At 35.5% G+C, this 22,509-nt stretch overlaps 1 protein-coding gene and 1 pseudogene across 34 annotated transcripts in view, besides 1 other annotated feature; both read left to right on the plus strand.

Annotated features, from left to right (window-relative positions):
- The window catches only part of KIAA0586, a 134,691-nt gene that overhangs the window by 73,443 nt on the left and 38,739 nt on the right, over nt 1-22,509 (plus strand). For 26 of the 34 annotated variants that reach the window (NM_001244189.2, NM_001244190.2, NM_001244192.2 and 23 more), the window contains 2 exons: nt 7,713-7,867; nt 11,680-11,785. In NM_001244189.2, the coding sequence (NP_001231118.1) occupies nt 7,713-7,867; nt 11,680-11,785 (261 nt within the window). Of the gene's footprint in view, nt 1-7,712; nt 7,868-11,679; nt 11,786-13,353; nt 14,981-20,079; nt 21,432-22,509 lie in introns of those variants that run through there. The other 8 variants (XM_047432005.1, XM_047432011.1, XM_047432015.1 and 5 more) reach the window with 3 other exon arrangements.
- Nucleotides 409-703: a silencer, noted in NCBI's record as "tiled region #13498; HepG2 Repressive non-DNase unmatched - State 12:CtcfO". NCBI's record gives its function as "represses a minimal TATA promoter and a strong SV40 promoter by Sharpr-MPRA in HepG2 cells {active_cell/tissue: HepG2}" and the evidence as "EXISTENCE:reporter gene assay evidence [ECO:0000049][PMID:27701403]".
- On the plus strand, nt 20,092-21,904 carry HNRNPCP1 (heterogeneous nuclear ribonucleoprotein C pseudogene 1; annotated as a pseudogene).

The following is a 22,509-nucleotide window of genomic DNA, read 5'->3' on the forward strand; positions in this document are numbered from 1 at the left end:
AAAGGTCACTTGTTTACAGTATGAGAGCTGGAATAAGGTGGAATGTATCGTTGTTCAGCATCAACTGGAAAAATGCATGTTAGGTAATTTAAGTTTTTCACCACTCTGTACATGTCCACAAATGACCACAAAGGTGCTGCAAGTATTGATTTGGGGGGTTATAAATACGTTTTAGCGAGTAGATAAATTTGCAAATATGTAATTTACAAATAAATGAGGATCTGCTATATTCTTATTATTGATTTTTAAATGCCCATTGTTTCTTTCTCTTAAGTGAAAAGAAACTTCTGGAGGCATGCAGATTTGCCAGAAATCAGAAAAGGAAAAGCCTGAAGTATTTAGTTTCATATTGAGTGAACACCTTGTATCATTCAGAATTGGGAGAATTCCGAGACTGAATTTCCCATGTGAATAAATGTAAAGATTGGCCTTATTTCTCATTTTGTACACATAATGAGAGTATTAAATGTTTTACATTCTTTAAAATTTGTAGGATTCAAATGGCATGAAATGTGACTTACATTTATGTCCAGCTAAATTTGCAGAATGCAGTTAAACAGAGTTAACACTAGGTGGCTCTCGCAGATCACTTGAACTGCTAGGTACTTAAGAGCTACTAGGTATCTGAGAGCAACTAGGTACTTAGTTGAAATGTTACAGAATAAACTCCCTGAGGAGATAGCCTCTTCAGTCCTTTTTAAATATCTGGTAACCCTAGCAGATTACCTATAGTACAGTGCATTTTTAATCTTAGGTACATTGTAGGTATTTAATTGGAAAAAATAAGTAATATGGTATAACATAAGATTGAACACATATGTAAGGCAGTATAGCAGAATAGCTAAGAGTTTAGGCTTTGAGAGTTTCAGAAATGGGTTTGAATTCCAGCTCTATGTATCTTTGGTCAAATAACTTAATGTTCCTGAACCCAAATTTCTTTATGTGTCAAGTGGGGATAATATTGCTATGTACGAAATTACCCCACATTTAACAGCTGAAGGCAGCAAACATTTATTATTTCACAGAACTCTGAAAGTCACAAATCCGGTAGTGGCTTACCTGGGTGGTTTTCAGGATCTCTCCTGATGTGGCAGTCAAGGTGATGGCTTGGACTGAGGTCATCTGAAGGCTTGACTAGGGTTGAAGGATCCACTTTCCAAGTTCACTCACATGGATTTAGCAAGAGGCTTCACTTCCTCACCATGTTAACCAGTCCATAGGGCCGTGAATGATGTGGTAGCAGACATCTCCCAAGAGAAAGTAAGCAATCAAGATGGAAACCATAATGTCTTTTTTTTTTTCTTTTCTTTTGAGACAGAGTCTCGCTCTGTTGCCCAGGCTGGAGTGCAGTGGTGCGATCTCAGCTCACTGCAACCTCTGCCTCCTGGGTTCAAGTGATTCTCCTACCTCAGCCTCCTGAGTAGCTGGGACTACAGATGCACGCCGCCACCTCGCCTGGCTGATTTTTGTATGTTTTTGTAGAGACGGGGTTTTGCCATGTTGGCCAGGCAGGTCTCAAACTTCTGACCTCAAGTGATCCACCCGCCACAGCCTCCCAAAGTGCTGGGATTACACGTGTGAGCCACTGCGCCCAGCTGATAATGTCTTTTATAACCTAATCTCCAAAGTGACATGCCATCACTTCTGTCATATTCCATTGATAACACAGACCAATCATGGAACAACTTAAGAGGTGACTTTTAAAAGGTGTAGATACCAGGAGGGCAGGGATCACTGGGGGCTATCTTGGAGGTAATAGTGTCTATCTCATTATGGTTATTAGGTACATGTATTTGACAATGCATGTAAAGTACTAAGCTCAGTGCTTGGCACATGGTGTTGTTCTCTTTAATAATGCTTGGAGTATGAAAAGTACTATCTTATATGTACTTAATAGAATCAGAAACTATCAACAGTTGACTAAAAGGACTTTGCCTATAGAAAACTAATTTGTTCCTCTTGTTTCAAGATTTTCTCCTGGTGACCACAGACTATAACTGTGGTCCATAGATGAGAATCAACTATATATGCTAGTGATTGGTATTGCTTTTCGTCTTGATTTTTAATAACTTTGCTTACAGAGGGTCATCTCTTCTTACTTTGCCCCTCCCCACCCCTGCTAATTTTCAGGAAGTGTCCTATTTTCTGTAGTCCTCTATCACTGTCTCCATTCCTGAGGCTCTCAGGTTGGGTTGAGTAACTGAAAGTTGCAAAATTGGCTTTGAGGAGTTGTCTTGGGAAACCTAAAATGTAAGCTGTAATTTGAGTGAATTATTTGTGGACCCTGGGATATACTACCAACTACAGCTTTTTATTTACTCAAAAAACCTGTATTGAATACCCACTGTATACCTAGAACTATGTAAGTACTACATTAAGCACTCAAGATTCAAAGATGATAGATATCTGCTCTCAAGATATTTACTAACTAGTGTGGGAGAAATAAATAACAATTATAATATTGTGTGACTAGTACAACACAGACGGCTGTGGGAGTGCAGAGGAGGAACTTAACTCATTTGTGAGGGCTTAGAAAAGGTTTTCTGCAAGATCCAATGTGAAATTGAATCTTAAGGGAATTAGCCAGATGGTAAATTATGATAAGAATATTCCAGTTTGTTCATTTACTTATTCAGAAGATATTTTTGAGTGCCTGCTATGTGCTGAGCATGTGCTAGGTGCTAGGAATATGAAACTTGGTAAGGCCCTGTTCACAATGATTTTTTTTCTCTAGTAGACATAGTAGATAAGAAAGCAAAAACATGCAATAAATTACTGTAGTTATTGTGAAGAAGCCCGTATAGGATGGAGGTACAGGTCAATTGTAGTTGAAGGGATTCAGGAAAGACTTCATAGATGAGGGAAGTCTTGCTTGAAGTGACTCCTCAAAGATGAATAAATGCTTGCCATGTGGTGAGTGAGGAGGGACCTTTCAGACAGAATATGCAATGAGACAGGGGACAAAGGCAAAAAAAAAAAAAAAGCAAGGGTTAATCGTGGAAATGCAGTGTTTTTGTCAAAGAATTAGAGCTTAAGATGCAGTGAAATTGCAGCAGGGAGCAGAAACCAGGTCATGAAAAGCCCTGGATTATCTATTAAGGAGTACAGTAAGGATCGCTTTGTATACAAAATGGGAAATAATAACAGTCTTACTTTTTACTTTATACTTATTCCCATGAACAATTCAGCCTTAAGTTTCTGTCAGTTCTGAATGTTGTGTGATATTCATCAGTCTGTTAAAGATTGTAAGTAAATGAGTGATGTGATCATATTTACCTTTTATTTAGCAAGATCATCTGAGATGCAATGTGATGGATAGATTGGAAGAGTTAAGACTGGAGGCAAGGAGCCTGATTAGACAACCATTAAAGTTGACCTGATGAGACATTATTCAGTAATGAGGATATATAAAAAGGGAGATTTGAGAGAGAATTAAGGAGATGGACAGGAATTCATTTGAATGTGAGCAGTACAAAAGAAGCAGAAAGTCTAAGAAATCCCTAGGTTTCTGTCTAGAATTATTGGATAGATGGTCATCTCAGTCACTGAGAGAGAGCGAATATGGAGGAAGGACAGAATTAGGAGGAAAGAGATTGAATGGGGTTTATACATACTGAATTTGTGATGCCTTTGACTTTCATACAAATGAAAAAAATCCATTAGATATGCCGGACCAAAAACTCTTGCTGGACTGGCAATTTTAGGCAAACTTAGTCTTCTCTAAAAGTCTGCCATGGTTGCTTTCCACTATAACAAAATTCTAGGAAAGTAAAATTAGGGATTTCTAGTTATGATTAATTAAATTAAATTTGACTTGAATGAAATAATATTTTAAATATCCCTCTTTTAAAGGTCTAACTTGCATTATACAGGTAAGACACCCACACTCAATGAGCCTGCTTGTTAGAAGACACAGCAAATTCAGCACTGTTATGATTGCTGTCAGGGAATCCTTTCCTGACCCTTATCACTGGGTTAAATACCTGTCATGTGTACTCTCTATAATTCTCTAATGTCACCTGCCTAATGTTGCTCTTATCACACTGATATTAATCTCATGTGAGGGTACGGACTTTATCTTGTGTACTCTCATATCCCTGTCACCTAGCAGGTTATATAGTATACAGAACATAGTAAATATCTGTTAAATTATAGGATGGTGTATTATGTGAAAGCTATTACGCACTTTTTGAGTGCTCCCCACCACCACTTTTTTCCTGTCCCATGTATGCCTTATCCCAAGTAACCCATGTTAAGATTCTGGCATATAACCTTCCTGTTTTTTACCTCACACATATAATTATATGCACACATGCATGTACAATATATATGGTATGTGTGATTGCCATTATTTTACAACTTAAGATCATATCTTGCACACTTGCCTGCATTTTGTGTTTTACCCAGTAAACCCTTAGATTATTCCAGGTCAACCGGTATTACTTAAATTTATTCATTTTAATGATTACGTAAAACTTCATAGTGTTGATTTCCAATAATTTATTTAGTTGTTTCTCTATTGATGGATGTTTATTAACATGTCCCTGCACTATAAACAATGCTAGAGTAAGTATCCACACACACATCCTACCAGATTGTTGTGTTTTATATACTCCTCCTTACTCCAGTGTATGTACTCCTGGGAAGCTCTTCTATACACGAGCAAATGTATCTTTAGTTTAGAAATAGATAATGCCAAGTTGCTTTCTTGAAAGTTTAAACCAATTTATTTTTATCGGCAATTTATTAGTGCCCTTTCCTTACATCCCCTCCTGAAATTGTGTTGATTAGTTTTTTTACATACCTCAGTAGAAATATGAAGATATGTTTCTGACTCCTGGTGAGTTTATATGTCTTTTCATTCATATGTTTGTTGGCCATTTGTATGTGCTCCTATAAAGTTCTTTTCCCATCTGGGAGGTTCTCAGTTTTTCTTGTTAGTTTTAAAGCTGTTTCTATAGTTTAGATGTTTTCTACTATTTGTATTGTAAATATCTTTATCCAAATTTATATTTTGCTCATTGACATTGTTGATGATCTTTTTGCCATATAATTTAAAAATTTATATGTAGATATTTCTAACTTTTATACTTTCCGTGCTTTCATGGCTTGATTATGTTGCTATACTGTAGGAAAAAGCTAATCACTTTTATCTATTTATCTGTTATCCAGTCACATTACCAATTCTCTTATTAGTTCTAATAGAGTTCTTTTGTTTTCATTAAAGTCTCTTGGGTTTTCTAGGCATATACCATATATCAGCAAAAGAGTTTTCAATATCTTCTTTTTTTAACATTATATGTAATTCTTTTCTCTTAATTCATTTGCCACTCTTAGAAAAATGTTGAACAAGTCACATAGGAATAGAAAAAGGCGTATCAGAATATAAAGAGACAAATAAAGCCTGAAACATTAGTTACTCTAAATTATAAGTATTATTACCATTATTTAAATTAATCTTATGTTAGATAATTAAATGAGAATCAGGTAATAATTTTGATAAATTGTTTTATACAGATTTAATACCATAATAGTAAAAATCAAAACTCAATGCGGCTGGACATGGTGGCTCATGCCTGTAATCCCAGCACTTTGGGAGAACGAGGTGAGCGGATCACTTGAGCACTTGAGGTCAGGAGTTCAAGACCAGCCTGGCCAATATGGTGAAACGCTGCCTCTACTAAAAATACAAAAATTAGACAGGTGTGGTGGCGCGTGCCTGTGGTCTCAGCTCCTAGGGAGGCTGAGGCAGAAGAATCGCTTGAACCCGGGAGGTGGAGGTTGCAGTGAGCTGAGATTGCACCACTGCACTCCAGCCTGGGTGAGTGAGTCTCCGTCTCAAAAAAAAAAAAAAAAATTAAAACTCAATAGATGTATTTCGCTTTATGTAAAAGCCCATTGAAAACCTAGATTAACATAAAAGATCAATCAGAGTGATTATTTGCTATATCTAGGAAATTGTCAACAGAATGCCTTTAAATGGAAAATATCTATGGCGTCTTTGAAATATTTTTTCAGGCTGGGTGCAGTGCAGTGGCTCATGCCTGTAATCCCAGCACTTTGGGAGGCTGAGGCAGGAAGATCACTTTAGCCCAGGGGTTTCAGACCAGCCTTGGCAACATGGCGAAACCCTGTCTCTACTAAAAATACAAAAAATTATCCAAGTGTGGTAGCGCACACCTGTAGTCCCAGCTACTCAGGATGCTGAGGTAGAAGAATCACCTGAGCCTGGGAAGTCAAGGATGCAGGGGGCCATGATCATGCCATTGCACTCCAGCCTGGGCAACAGGAGTGAGACTCTGTCTTTAAAAAAAAAAAAAGTGTATATATATATATGTGTATGTATGATTTTTATATATATGTATGATTTATATATATAAATCATCTATATGTATGATTTATATATAAATCATGTATGATTTATATATATGTATGATTTATATATATATCATGTGTATGATTTATATATCATATATATTTATATATGATATATAAATATATAATATCATATATAATATATCATATATATGAATTATATATATGATTTATGTATATAAATTTTAAATATATATATTTAAAACTTAATTTGCATATAACTCTTCAGGTCTATTTCTATTGATTATATTTTAAAAGGTTGTCTAGCAAGACTGTGAAACAGAGAGCAGTGACTTAATTCCTCTGTGCTTCTTGCTAGCTCTTTGATTTTGGACAGTTAGTTAACTTCTCTGAACCTTAGTAATGTCAGTGAGAGACAGTTACAATGATGTCTAACCTATCTTACAGAATGATTGTAAAGTTCAAATGTAATAAGATAATGTACTCATATATGAAAGTGCTTGGAGTATATAGTGCAATACAAAGGTACAGTGGTTAGATACATAGATATCTCTGCTCTTGTCTTCTTTTTACTGATTTGACTGAGGTGCCATTTATTTATTTATTTATTTATTTATTTATTTAGAGACGAGGTCTCATTTTGTTACCCAGACTGGAGTGCAGTGATGCGATCTCAGCTCAGTGCAACCTCCGCCTCCTGGGTTCAAGCGATTCTCCTGCCTCAGCTTCCTGAGTAGCTGGGATTACAGGTGCCATGCCACCACACCCAGCTAATTTTTGTATTTTTAGTAGAGACAGGTTTCACCGTGTTGGCCAGGCTGGTCTCAAACTCCTGACCTTAGGCATCCACCCACCTCAGCTTCCCAAAGTGCTGGATTACAGGCATGAGCTACTGCACTCAGCCAGAGGTGCCATTTAGATAAGAAAATAAGAGCTTGATCACTTGAAGAACAAAATCTACAGAATAGAGCTAGGCAATACCAACATTTTCCAGGCAGGAAATTGCCCTTTGCTTTAAGATTACATTTTAGATAGAAAGTATTCTATTGACTCTTAGAGATAGGAAAGGTAAGCAGGAGTATTAAGAGTTCGTATGTGGGAAGGAGGCTGCAGATGAACTGCATGGGCAACTTGTTGACTGGAACTTTACATAGAATATTCCATGGATTTGTTTGAACATAGGTACTTTTTGCATTCTCTCTGAGTTTTGGTTTTAATTGCAGTGAAGGCTTGGTCCAGGTGTTTTTGTTTGAAGTACACTGCTAGTTCTAATTCAGCAGGTGAGAAATATTGGTGGTTTTAGTCAACTACTTGTTCATTTTTGAAGATAAATTTAACACTTTATTTTAACTTTTTATTTACATTTTTGATAACAGGTAGTATTTATGAAGATTCATGTGCTAGTCATGGTCCAATGAGTTTGGGAGAATTGGAGTTGGAGCCAAATTCTAAGCTGGTTCTTCCCACAACACTTCTGACAGCACAAGAAAATGATGTTAATTTACCAGTAGCCGCTGAAGATTTTTCCCAGGTACCAAATTAATAGCACTTGTATTTTACTTAAAATGAGAATTGAAACACTGTTGCCTTAGCGTGGTACCCCGTCAAGAGCCAAGCCTCTGGAGTCAGATAGCTTCAAATCATGCCTCCTTTATTTCCTAACTCAAGTCTGAATATAAATCTAGTTCACCCAAGCTGTGCCCTAGAACACATTACTTAGCCTCTTTTAAGCCTTAATTCCCTATCTTTAAATTAAAGAATAAAATAATGGCCAGGTGCAATGGCTCACACCTGTAATCCCAGCACTCTGGGAGGTTGAGACAGTGGATCGCTTGAGTCCAGGAGTTTCAGACCAGCCTGGGCAATGTGGCAAAATGCCATCTCTACAAAAAATACAAAAATTAGCTCGGCTCCTGTAGTTCCAGCTACTTGAGAGGCTGATGTGGGCAGCAGATTGCTTGTGCCCGGGAGGCAGAAGTTGCAGTGAGCCCAGATTACACCACTGCACTCCAGCTGGTGACAGAGTGAGACTCTTGTCTCAAAAAAAATGAATAAGTAAATAAAACATAAAAATAATATATATAAAAGTAAGGTAGCGATTTCATTTACATCTCTGTATCTGCATGCAATACCTAGCTCAGTAATTTACATATAGTAGGTGCTTGATAAGTGTTTATTACATTGAAATTTGTAAAAAGTGTTTCATAAGAAATGTATTGCATAAGAAATTTAATGCTGAGGTAAGCCAATGGCCCATGCAATCTTGTGTACTGAAAAAATAGGTTAATTACTCACCAAGATGTTAATCTAAAAAAGTTCAATATTAAGTAGTTTTTTATTTGTGTATTGGCAATTCGTTCAAAATTACCCATTTTGAACTAATTTATGAATAAGTATTCATGGTATTATGCAGCAGGACATGTTACGGATGAAACCAAAAAATACGTAAGATAAAGATTGTTTATGGAACACATGATTATGTGGGGTTCAGTATTACCAATCTGTGACCAAGCAATGATCAGGAAAAACTAGTTAATAATGAAAAAGTATCTGTTAATAACTTCGATATAAAAAAAATTTTTGTGACCATGATTAGGCAAACATTTCTGGGATATGATACCAAAGGTACTATCTATGAATAATAATTTTTTAAATTGGTCTTATCAAAAATAAGAACTTCTGTTCTTCAAAACACAGTTAAGAGAATTAAAAGGCAAGCCACTGACTGGGAGAAAATATTTACAAATCACTTATCTTATCAAAGACTTCTGTTCAGAATATATAAGGAGCTCACATAACTCAATATTAAGAAAACAAACAATCCAGTTGAAAAATGAACAATAGATTTGGAACAGTCCTTTACCCAGAGAAGATAATATAAATGGCAAATAAGCACATAAAAAGATTCTTAGCTGGGCGTGGTGGCTCACGCCTGTAATCCCAGCACTTTGGGAGGCTGAGGCAGGTGGATCACGAGGTCAAGAGATCGAGACCATCTTGGCCAACATGGTGAAACCCCATCTCTACTAAAAATACAAAAATTAGCTGGGTGTGGTGGTGTGCACCTGTAGTCCCAGCTACTCAGGAGGCTGAGGCAGGAGAATCACTTGAACCCAGAAGGTGGAGTTTGCAGTGAGCCAAGATCTCGCCACTGCACTCCACCCTGGTGACAGAGCAAAACTCCTTCTTGAAAAAAGAAAAAAAGATTCTCAGCAGAGTTAGTCATTAGGAAAATGCAAAATAAAACCACAATGAGCTACCACCACACATCCATTAGAATATCTAAAATCTAAAAGGCGGTCATGCCAAGTGTCGGCAAGGATGTGGAGCAACTGAACTCTCATACTTTGTTGATTGGGAATGTAAAACGATCCAACCCCTATGGAAAAGAGCTTGGCCATTTAAAAATATACACCCACCATATGAACCATGCATTTCACTCCTAGTTTCTCAAGAGAAACTAAAACATATATTTACACAAAGACATGTACGTGAATGTTCATACAACCTTATATTTGTAGTAACCAAAAACTGAAAACAACACAAATGTCAATCAACTGGTAAATGGACAAATTGTGGTGTATCCTGTACAGTGAAATACTTAGCAACCAAAAGGCATGAACTATGAATACAAACAATAACATGGATGGTTCTTACAAAAGTTATGTTGAGTAAAGAAGCCATACCAAAAAAAAAAAACACTGATTTTATTTATATAAAATTTTAGAAAATGCAAACTAATTTATAGTAATAGCATTTCAGTTATTTTGGGGTGATGGTAGGAGTTAGAGGTGGAAAGGGCAAGAAGGAGAAGATAAAAGGGTGTGAGAAAACTTTTGAGATTGATGGATATGTTTATTGTATTATCTTGATTGTGGTGATGGTTTCATGGGTTTATAGGTAGGTCAAAACAGCAAATTGGACACTTTAAATATGTGCAGTTTATTGTCTGTTACATGTATCTCAATAAAACTTTAACAATAAAAGAAAGATTACTTCCTTTTAATTGATGGCTTGTTTTAGAATAAAACTATAAAGTGTTACCAGAAGAAAGGGCCTCAAAAAATTCCCTTGTTAGATTTCTTTAGCTAGCAGGGACTTATGGTTAGTAATAATAGCACACATTTATAGTGCTAGATGCTGTTCTAAGTTTTTTACGTATTTTAACTTATTTAATCATTATAACAGCCTAATGAGGTAGTTGTTACTATTATCCCCATTTCATGAATGAGGAAATTGAGGTATTGAGCAGTTAAATAACTTGCCCAAGGTCAAAGCTAGAAAATGCCTTACCCAGATTTGAACACAGGCAGTTTAGCTCCTGTGGTCACAGCTCTTATTCGCTGTGAGTAAGTAAGGAAACCAATAGAAACGTTCAAAGTCTCAGCAGCCAGAGCCAGAGGTAGTCCTAGTACCCATCTTAGAAATACACACCAAGATAATATTTCCTTCGAGGCAGAAACATACATGACTAACGGCTCTAAACTTGGAAGACCAGAGTTAAGGCTAGTTATTATTACTGCAGCTTAGAGCTACTAATTTTTACCCCTAGATAAAGAGGATGCCTGTCAGAGGTGCAGTGATTACATTGTGTCCATGTGGACAGATGTTTTAGATTCTTCTATGGTTGTATTTATTGATAAGGGTCCAGGGATTTCTTTTTAAGTTCCTGTTAAAGCTATTTTCAGGGGCTCATTTATAATTAAGCGCATAAAATAGGAAAGAGAAGAAAGAAAATCACACAATTTGTGATGTGTGATTACGAAGAGATTTATGACTACTGTAAATTTCAAATTTGGTTATGTTATATGAGAGATGATAGTGCTTATGGTGGAGCGTATGTTTCTTGAATAGCAAATGGAAGATAACAATACCTACTCACACTTCTGAGAATTAAATGATGTTACTATATATAAAAGCTCTTCGAAAATTGCAGTGCATTATGCAGATTTTCATTTTATGCAAAAAGTGGTTATATGGAAGAGTTTGCTGCCAAATTAAGTTCTTATCCTGTCTAAATCCATTATATGTATATAAAGTAGTTTGATTCATAAGTAGCTCTGAATTCTCTAATGAAAATAGACAGAAATGACTTGAATATTTGAAATCTGTATATATGATCCAAATCTTTTTAAAGGTTTTTTTTTGCAACGTCTTTTCTTTTGTAATAGGTACCTCATCACCTATTTATTGGTAGAAGTGCGAATAAATAAAAAGCAATAAAAAGCAACTAGAAAGCAAGCATATTATTAAAATTTTATAAACACTTGAATAATTTGACTTCTCAGATTTTTTTAAGTAACTAAAAAATAATATTATGACTTCATATCTTAAATTATTTAGTACCAACTAAAGCAAAATCAGGATGTTAAGCAAGTTGAACACAAACCATCACAAAGTTACCTACGTGTTAGAAATAAATCTGATATTGCACCTTCACAGCAACAAGGTAAGACTTGTTTTTATGTAATAATACAATAGTTTGATACTTGTCTGAATATTGAACAAATATGAGAATTCTTTACTTTTTATACATCCCACTGCTCTCTAGGTTTTTGTTTTCTTTTGTTTTCTCTCATTTAGTCCATTTACATGAAGAATCGGTATTGTATTTGACTATGTTAGTTCTTTTTACCAGTAAACACTATTTCTAGTGGATTTTTTAAACTCTTAGCTGGTGTCTTTCCTTTACCCTTGCCTTTTAGTTCTTGTTCAATTGAATACCAAGGTCTTTTTATCTGTATATAGGTCTGTTTGACATTACAATATGTTAAAGACAGGGATTATGGCTGTATTTAATATGCTTTGTAAAGCACATTATTTAGTGCGTGGTGGTGCTGACCAAGTATAACTTAAAAGCAATTGCCTCTCATATTACATACTGTGATATGGATGACCATATCATAGTTCTTTATCAAACTCGTGTGGTTACCTTTAATTCCACAGTCAGCGTTCAAGCATTTTGATGTTGTCTCTATGTTTCTACAAGGCTGTTGGCCTTGTGTTTTGTTTGCCATCTTGCTTCTTAGTCATTTACATTTTCTATAACCTAAAATCTGAAATTTGGCAGTAGAAATTAAGATCTCTTCTGTTTAAAAACTTTCTGCCCACAATTCTGGAAGAAGTATTAGAAATATTTTGAGAAGTGGAATTTTTCTTTTTTGCTTTTATAACTGTGATTTTTATTTAATTTTCAAATAATATTTAATTGAGCAAATGCATATTATTGAATGCCGGTATAATTGCGAATGTAACTATGCATTTGGTGTTTTGGGAAGGACCTAAATGAGGAAGTGCTCAAGATAGTAAGATTATGCCACTTAAGGTTTAGGTTTTCACTCTTCCATTTGTTGTCTGTTCCCCTCTTGCTCCAAGTTTTCAGAACTTTGTCCTCCTGACCCTTTTTTTTTTTAACCTCACCATAGTACGTTAATATTAATGTACTATGGAAAATACCTATAAAACTCTTCTTCTGGTGATTTAAGAATTAATCATGATAGTATATCGATATGGGCAGATAAATGTTTCTAAGATAATGTCAGAATTTACTTCATGTTCTTCTACTGAGTTCTCATTTATGAACTGTCCTTCGCAGTCAATGATAGTTTCTTTAATGTTTTTAAAAATCAATCATTTTTGGCATTACAAATGAATTTCATTTTCTTGAGGATGTTGTATGTAATGAAATAATTATTTTTCTCAGCTGATAGGAAAATGTCTCTGGTAAGATGTTAGCTGGTAGAAGGAAGTTTTATGTGGAAAGGGTTTACAACAGTTGGATTTAATACATTTGAAATGTTTTACATTTAATTTTACATCTAATACAAAAGGTAGGAGAGCAGACCTATACCAGCCTTGACTAAAACAAATAAATACCAGTGGGCTATAAAGAGAACATTTTAAATACAGGCGAAGTCTTTCACTCTATAATTGGTACATATCTTTATACTAGAAAATTTCTTGAATGAATATGATTGCCTTGGCAAATATAATCAGTTATGACTTTTTTCCCCATAGATTTTGTGGGTTTTATTATTTTTTTTCTCTGATGAAACTCTGAGACATTGCCAAATGTTGCAGAAAATAGAAGTCAGAGTGCCAAAATAATTCTCTGGAGCTCTCAGGACTTTGGGTGACCTTGAAGGAATTCAATCCTCTCATACATAGAAACCTTGAAGATAATGAAGGAAATTCACCTTATCACAGGGGAATTAAAACCACATCTTTTCTAGCAGATAAATGCTTCCAAGAATACTAGAACCCCAAATTTTGGCTATTTCAGGGGGAAGTATCATGTATTTCACTTGAAATGTGTAGTAGTTTAATATATGTCTATAAAGAAAGGAGCAGTAGCAGCTGTTTTAATGATCATCCATTAAAAATTAACTGAAGAATGGTAGGACACAGATTCCAGCACCATATTGCTAGGAACTTAGTAAAGTACTTAGTTTTTTTCCACCTTGATTATTACTTTCAGATTTTAATATAAAAGAGAGGAATTCATTGTTCTGACAAATGGTATCTTTGGAGCCTTTAAGAGTAAAACCTTTTAATTTGGTATTGAATTTATTGGGTCTATCTTTGACCACGTGATACCACTTACCTGATTCTATGTACTGATTAATGTATCTAACAGTTTTATAGTGAAAGTACTTTTTAAAAAAGTATTTGAATGGTCATTTCTATTTTTCCCCCTTTGCTGTACAAGTTAATTTTTACTCATCTTTTGCTGTACAAATTAACTTTCATCAATACAAATAAGAGGCTAGTTTTAAGTCAATTTATTTGTCATGAGCCCAGGAACAATTAAATTCTATAAAGTAATGTATTAAAATAGTACACTTTAAAAATTATTTTCCTTCTTTTTTTCTCTTTAAATTTTAAGACCATCATAATAAATTATCATTACAAAGTCAAACATACTATATACTACTATCAGTCAATGGGGAAAAAATAAGTCATATGTTTTATGGTAAAATGCTGTAATAGATTGGATTGTCAAATTTGCTTGAAAAAAATCACAGCAGTTTTTAGTTTTTCTTATTTGTAGATTACACGTTACTCAGAAAATAAGTATCAAAGTGCTAAAAGTAATAGGTGTAATTGCTGTTATTTGTCAAAATCAGTTTACATTTTTGTGGGAAATACAGAATCACAAATATTTCTTTCTGGCATTATGTCCTGAGTTAAATTCTAGAAAATTTAGCACCTTTTATACTCATATAGCTGTGACAATAACTTTAAATATGTGAACATTAGGAAATTCAAAGCTTATATATTCTTAGAAGCTAATTTTGACCACGTGCGCAAATTATTTTTCTTTTTTAGTAGAATGGTGCATTTTTTGCCTTTGTATTTGAAATTTAGCTAAATTACAATAGCTATCAGAACTACAATTGACCTTAGTAATTTCAAAACCATAGTTATAAGGGTTTTAAGTTGATTTTTAAAAATCTTAAGATATGATAGGGATTTCAAAACTATGTGTGTGTATCTCTGATAGGGAGGGGTTGGGGCACAGACTAATAAGTGTGCCAAAAATCTGTGAATCCAAATGTGTAACAAGTGTTGTCTGAATAAATGTCCACAAATCCATGCTATTATTGGTTAACAAAAAATAAATTCACTTTGAAATGTTGCTGAATTTGGGAGTTTTGTTTCTACCTAGGATGAGGAAATTGGAAAGAGTGTCACTTTCACCCTAACTATAATAAAATGTCAGATAAACTACAAAATCATTAACATTTCTTGAACCCATCAGAGAGCTTCTGATGCAGAGCAACTAAGTAGCCTAAAGTCCAAGGAAAGACAGACTCCTCCAAAAAGAGATGAGACACAAGCACTGTCTCACTTGTGACAGAGCATGGTTACAGGAAGAGACACCAGGCACCAATCAAGCAGATAAGAAGTATTTGGTTAAACTTTTTAAGTGGGTTTCTAAAGGCCAAGTATAGAACCATTGGTAGTCACAGATACAAGTGGAGTTCACACCCACTTGTAGGCATCTTCTGCACAGACCTCTAGAGAAAGATTGTGGGGAAAGGCAGAGAGTCTCTCTCACTGGTGCAGGCCTGAATGAGAGGAGTGGCTGTCACTGCCAGAAAGACAGGATGCCCCACTTTGACCCTTCTCCTTTAAGAACAAAAGCCTTAAGCCACTGAGGAAGGGGCAACACATCTGTTATTTCCAGGGTATAGGTGAAAACCTATTTGGCTGGGGGAAGGGTAAAGAAAAAAAAAGAATCCACTCCTGGCGGAGAAGAAGGAAATAGTCTTGGTCCCACAATCTTTTATTAGCACTATTAGAAGTTTCTTACTGTTGGGAGAGTGGTTGGAAACTGTCCTGCACAAAATTTGCCAAAGGGACAAGGCAGAATTTAAAATGTCAGTTCCCTCCAAATTGATCTATAGATTCAGTGCAATCTCAAAAACATTCCAGCAGGGATTTCTGGGTAGAAGTTGACAAGCTGAAGCTAAAACTCTTGAGAAAATGCAGAGGACCTAGAATAGCCAAAATAACTTTTAAAAAGAAAAATAAAGTTGGAAGATTATACTATATAACTCTAAGACTTATTATAAAGCTACAGTAATCAAGACAGTGGAATATTGGCATAAATATCAATGGGATAGAATAGAGAATTCAAAAAAAAAGTCCACACATTTATGATTAGTTGATCAATTGATTTTTACAAATGGGAAAGACGATTCCATGGAGAAAGGATAATCTTTTCAACAAATGGTGTTTGGACAGAGCTCATCTATATACAAAAAAAAGAACCTCAATCTATATTTCACCAACACACAAAAATGAGCTAAAAAATGGATCATAGATCTAAATGTAAAGCCTAAAACTACAAAACTTCTAGAAGAAAATATAGGAGAAAATGTTTCTTTGTGACCTTTGGTTGGGCAAAGATTTCTAAGCTATTGCAGAAACTAATGATAATTGGACTTAATCAAAATAAAAATTTCTGTTCTTCAAAAGACAGTGTTAAGAGAATGAAAAAGGACAAATCACAGACTGGAAGAAAATATTTGCAAATTTGCTTTCTGATGAAGCAGTTATGTCCAGAATATATTTTTAAACCTTACAAAACTCAACACTAGGAAAACAACCCAATTTTTAAAATGCATAAAAGATTTGAACAGATACTTCACCAAAAAAGAAATTTGGATGGCAAATAAGCACATGGAAAATTGTTCAACATCATTAGTAATTGGGAAGATGCAAATTAAAAATTAAATACCACTGAATACCCATTAGGTTGACTAAAATCAAGGAAACTGATACTACCATGTGTTGGTGAGGATATAGATCAATTCTAATTCTGATACATTGCTGGTGGGAATGCAGAATGCAACATGCACCTTGGAAAACTGTTTGACAGTTTCTTATAAAATTAAACATAAATTTACCCTATGACTCAGCAGTCCATTTCCTATGTATTCATTCAAGATAAATGAAAACTTATTTTCACACAAAACCTGTACTCAAAACTTTTTTAGCAGTTTATTTTATAATTACCCAAAACTGGAATCAACCAAAATGTCCTTCAACAAGTAAATGGATAAACAATCTGTGTGGTACATCCATACAATGGAATAGTACTCAGCAATGAACAGACGTGAACTACTGATACACACACAACAGCACAGATGAATCTCAGTTGCATTAAATGTAGTGAAAGAAGTTAAAAGGCTACATACTGTATGATTCCATTTATATGGAAAAGGCAAAATTTATTGGAAAAGGCAAAACTATAGATATGGAGAACAGGTCAGTGGTTGCCTTGAAGAAGAGTTTGACAACAAATGGCAGGAGGGAACTTTTTTCCATTTTGATGGAAATATTATATATCTTGATTGGGGTAGTGTCTATATAACTAAGAATTTTTCAATGGTTAGTCTTACTGGTTATAAATTATACTTCAATAAAATGATGTACATATTACTAAGTTTATGACACTTTTGCTTATTATGAATTTTCTTAATTAGCTTATACTAAAAGCTTATCACTTGGGAAAGTATAAAAGGTTTTGTTGTTAAAAGGTGTGTAAATGTGATACTGTATTACATTTATTTACTCTTACATCTTTTTCTTATATTAACACTTTAGGAGGAGATAGTTTGATGTATTTTATAATACAGTATATTTTCAATACAGTTAAATTGGATTTTTAGGTGTTTATTTAAAAATACATTCCATTTAGACTAGAAATCTGAAACATTTATGTTTTATAATTAATAGTGACTAACTGGAAACAAAGAAAAATTGTATGTGCTAATCTACAGTGGAAGTACTCTTGTTTAAAATTTTCTTTTTTAGATTTCAGAAAGGGAAGAACTGTCAGCTCAAAAACTTGTGTTTTTTACTGGCACATCCAATATAATGTGTAATCAACACAGTTTAACTCAGTAAACATTAATTGAGGGCCCTCCACACTCTACGCTACTAAGCTTCAATGCCTTTTTGCATTATCTTCTTTCCACCCAGAGTTACCTTCTCTCCCCACTTCTATATGCCTACAAATTACTTATTCTTCAACATTCAGCTCCATCTTTCTGAGTTCTTACTGAACCTCCGATTGAAAACGTCTTATTCATTTTAACCCACTCTCTTCCCCTAGCTCTTTTCTGCCTTGAACATAATCATAATCTTAACAACAGTTTTTTGCTGGGCACAGTGGCCCACACCTATAATCCCAACACTTTGAGAGGCCGAGGCAGATGGATCACTTGAGGTCAGGAGTTCGAGACCAGCCTGGCCAACATGGCAAAACCCCGTCTCTACTAAAAATACAAAAATTAGCCGGACGTGGTGGCACATGCCTGTAGTCCCAGCTACTTGGGAGGCTGAGACATGAGAATTGCTTAAGCCTAGGAGGCGGAGGTTGCAGTGAGCTGAGATCGCACCACTGCACTCCAGCTTGGGCCACAAAGTGAGACTCTGTCTCAAAACCAAAACCAAAACAAAACAAAACAGGGGAATACATTTACCAGAGGTTTGCTAGGTGTGTTCTATGTTAATTTCATTTATTCATCACAATACCATGCCATGCAGGTAGTTTTGTTTGTTTGTTTTATAGAGATAGAGTTTCACTGTCACCCAGGCTGGAGAGCAGGGGTATGATAGTTCATTGCATCCTCAACCTCCTGGGCTCAGGAAGTCTTCCTGCCCCAGCTTCCATGTAGCTAGGACTACAGGTGTGTGCCATCATGCCTGACTCAGGTAGTTTTATTCCTGTTTTACAAGAGAGAATGATAAGATTCTTGAAGGTTAACTAATTTTCCCAAAGCACATAATTTAGAAAATGAAGATCTGGAATTCCAGCCCAGATCGACTTGATTGCAAAGCTGATGCTCCTTTCCTTGTGTAATACTATTTATTGAATAAGCATTTAATAAATATTTATCGTGTGACTTAACAGCTTGTTGATAAGAGCTGCTTTTATCATCTCTATATTTCCAGGACTGATTATTTAATATTCCAAAGAAAGTGATATATGGGATAGTGTTGTGATTTGTTTTTAAGATATGTTATCTGTTTCTTATTTAAGAGAGCTTGTTTCCCAGTGTAGCACTGTGGTGATCAGTAAATGTTCATGGAATTGAATTTGATGATTACATCATTTGCTATTAACCCCAAACAACATTTAATTCTGTTATTTAGTAATAAGACGGAAGAAGGAAGGGAAGAGAAAAATGAGAATATTTCATTACAATCATTTTTCCATTACTGTCTCTTTTTAATGTAGACAGTCGTGCAAACAGCCACAGTGGACTAATCTAAAGTGATTTTTATTTGCTTTTCCAAAAGATTGATTTCTTTTATAGTATTAACATACATTTTTATTATTTGAGGACAAAATAGTTGAACAGAGGGTAGGGGCAGCCGAGAATATGCCCAAGGGTGGGGAAAATTAAATCAGCTTAGATACTAGTTCATGGGGAATCTTTTTGAACTTTAGATGAGAAAGAAAAATCGTGTTGACATTCATTCACTCTTTCTTTTTAAATTGAGATATAATTCACATACTGTAAAATTCTCCCTTTAAATTCTCACTGGTTTTTAGTATATGCAAAAAGTTGCTGAATTACCATCCCTTTCTAATTCCAGAACATTTTCTTCACCCTAAAAAGAAACTCCATATCTATTAGTAATTGTTTTCCATTCTACCCTCCCCAACCCTAACCCTGCCAACCACTAATCTACTTTCTGTCTCTATGGATTTCCCTATTCTGGACATTTCATATAAGTGGAATCATACAAGATGTGGTTTTCTTTTTGGCTTCTTTCACTTAACATAATGTTTTCTTTTAGTTTTTTGGGGTTTTGTTGTTGTTGTTGTTGTTGTTGTTGTTGAGACAGAATTTTGCTCTGTCACCCAGGCTGGAGTGCAGTGGCGTGATCATGGCTCACTGCAGCCTCTGACCTCCCGGTCTCAAGCAATTTTCCCACCTCAGCCTCCTGAGTAGCTGGGATGGCAGGCGTGTGCCACCATGCCCGGCTAATTTTGTTTTCATTTTTTGTAGAGACAAGGTCTCACTCTGTTGTCCAAGCTGGTCTTGAACTCCTGGGTTCAAGCAGTCTGCCCACCTCAGCCTCCCAAAGTGCAGGGATTACAAGTGTGAGCCACCGCACCTGGCAACATAATGTTTTCAAGGTCCATCCATATTGTAGCAGGTATCATTACTTTATTTTTTTTTGTAGATGAATAATATTCCATTGTGCATTCATTCTTAGGTTAATCTTTTTTAGCATCCCTTTACATAAAGTACCATAGAAAGTGCTGTGGCCCTAGAGAGATGGATAAAACAAAGCATCTGCTCTCCCGGGATAAAAAGAAGAAAGGCCATTTTGTGAAGAGATGAAGACTGAGCGGTTGTGGCCGCCTTGCCGACCTTGAGCAGCAGTTGGCTTCTCCACATAGTACCCGGGAATAGGAGTCTCAGAATCGAATCTCTTCTGCCTGCTCACTTCTGTGAGATTTTTTTGATCTTCAGCTACATTTTTGGCTTTGTGAGAAGCCTCATCATCCAACACAGTGGCCAGCAACGTTGCCGACAAGACGGATCCTCACTCCATGAACTCCCGTGTGTTCATTGGGAATCTCAACACTCTTGTGCTCCAGAAATCTGATGTGGAGGCAGTCTTTTCAAAGTATTGCAAAATTGTGGGCTGCTCTGTTCATAAGGGCTTTGCCTTTGTTTAGTATGTTAATGAGAGAAATGCCCGGGCCGCTGTAGGTGGAGATGTACAGCTCCTCTTTTGACTTGGACCATGACTTTCAACGGGATTATTATGATAGGATGTACAGTTACCCAGCACATGTTCCTCCTCCTCCTATTGCTCGGGCTGTAGTGCCCTCGAAATGTCAGCATGTATCAGGAAACATGAAGGGGAAAAAGTGGCTTCAATTCTAAGAGAGGACAGCGGGGATCTTCCAAGTCTGGAAAGTTGAAAGGAGATGACCTTCAGGCCATTAAGAAGGAATTGACCCAGATAAAACAAAAAGTGGATTCTCTCTTAGAAAACCTAGAAGAAAATTGAAAAGGAACAGGGGAAACAAGCAGTAGAGATGAAGGATGATAAGTCGGAAGAGGAGCAGAGCAGTAGTTCCATGAAGAAAGATGAGACTAATGTGAAGGTGGAGTCGGAGCGGGGTGCAGATGACTTTGCTGAGGAGGACCTACTAGATGATGATGACAATGAAGATGGGGGATGACCAGCTGGAGTTGATCAAGGATGATGAAAAAGAGGCTGAAGAAGGAGAGGATGACAGAGACAGCACCAATGGCGAAGATAACTCTTAAGCACATAGTGGGGTTTAGAAATCTTATCCCATCATTTCTTTACGTAGGTGCTTGTCTAAGATCAAATTTTTCACCAGATCCTCTCCCATGGTATCTTCAGCACATGCTCACTGTTCTCCCAATCCTTGTCCTTCCCATGTTCATTAATTCATAGTGCCCTGCGCCTAGTTCCATTTTCACCTCCTTTGATGCCCTAGTAGTTTTGTTAAGTCTTACCTTGTAATTTTTGCTTTTAATTTTGATACTTCTTTATGACTTAATAAAAAGGATATGTGGTTTTTATTAACTGTCTCCAAAATAATCTTTTGTTATGCAGGGAGTACAGTTCTTTTCATTCATACGTAAGTTCAGTAGTTGCTTCCCTAACTGCAAAGGCAATCTCCTTTAGTTGAGTAGCTCCTGAAAGCAGCTTTGAGTTAGAAGTATGTGTATTACACCCCCACATTAGTGTGCTGTGTGAGGCAGTTCAACACAAATGCAACAACGTAGTTTTGTGAATGAGAGCTGGCATGTCAAATGCATCCTCTAGAAAAATAATTAGTGTTGTAGTCTTAAGATTTGTTTCTAAAGTTGATACTGTGGGTTATTTTTGTGAACAGCCTGATGTTTGGGACCTTTTTTCCTCAAAATAAACAAGTCCTTATTAAACCAGGAAAAAAACAAAAAAAGAGGAAAGGGGTAGTTGAGAAGAATAATTTCTTTAAAACACTGCATCTCAGAAATAATTTGTTAGAATACTATTAAATATGAAAAGGCAAACATCTTTCTATAATTAAACTGTCAACTTGTCACTGTTTTCTTATAGTGCTGAAAAATAAGCGTGGCAACAAGTGTGTTAGGTCAACTTGCAGATTGTTTTTATGTATATACATTTCTTACATTTTATGTGAGGATGTTTGGATGAGAGAGGCATAATCCATATGAGAAAAAATATTTCTCTGGCACAATAATGGATTTTTAAACATAGGTGATTATTTTAACTGTTCCAATGTGAAAGGATTTATACTTTTTATTTAAGAGGTAGAATATGTATATGCATATCTATATATAATATCTATATCTATGTCATATATATATATATAGTCTAACAGACAAATGTGCGTAACTAAGGATGATCCCTCAGAATGAGCAAAATGCATAAAGGATTGACATGGAAAATCTGTTAAATAAGACATTGAATATTATGCAAGGATTTCTATAACATTTTTACTTGTTGGTACTAAAAGTAATTTCCTTTTCAATACAGAAGCATTTTAATTGTGGAAATTATTTGATTTCCTTTTTGTGGAATTAATTATATACTGTGTATGGAGAGCTTGGGTTTTTCTCATCTTTTTGACATTAAACACATCTCACCAAA

Source organism: Homo sapiens, chromosome 14 (genome assembly GCF_000001405.40).
Source record: "Homo sapiens chromosome 14, GRCh38.p14 Primary Assembly".
NCBI classification, from domain to species: Eukaryota; Metazoa; Chordata; class Mammalia; order Primates; family Hominidae; genus Homo; species Homo sapiens.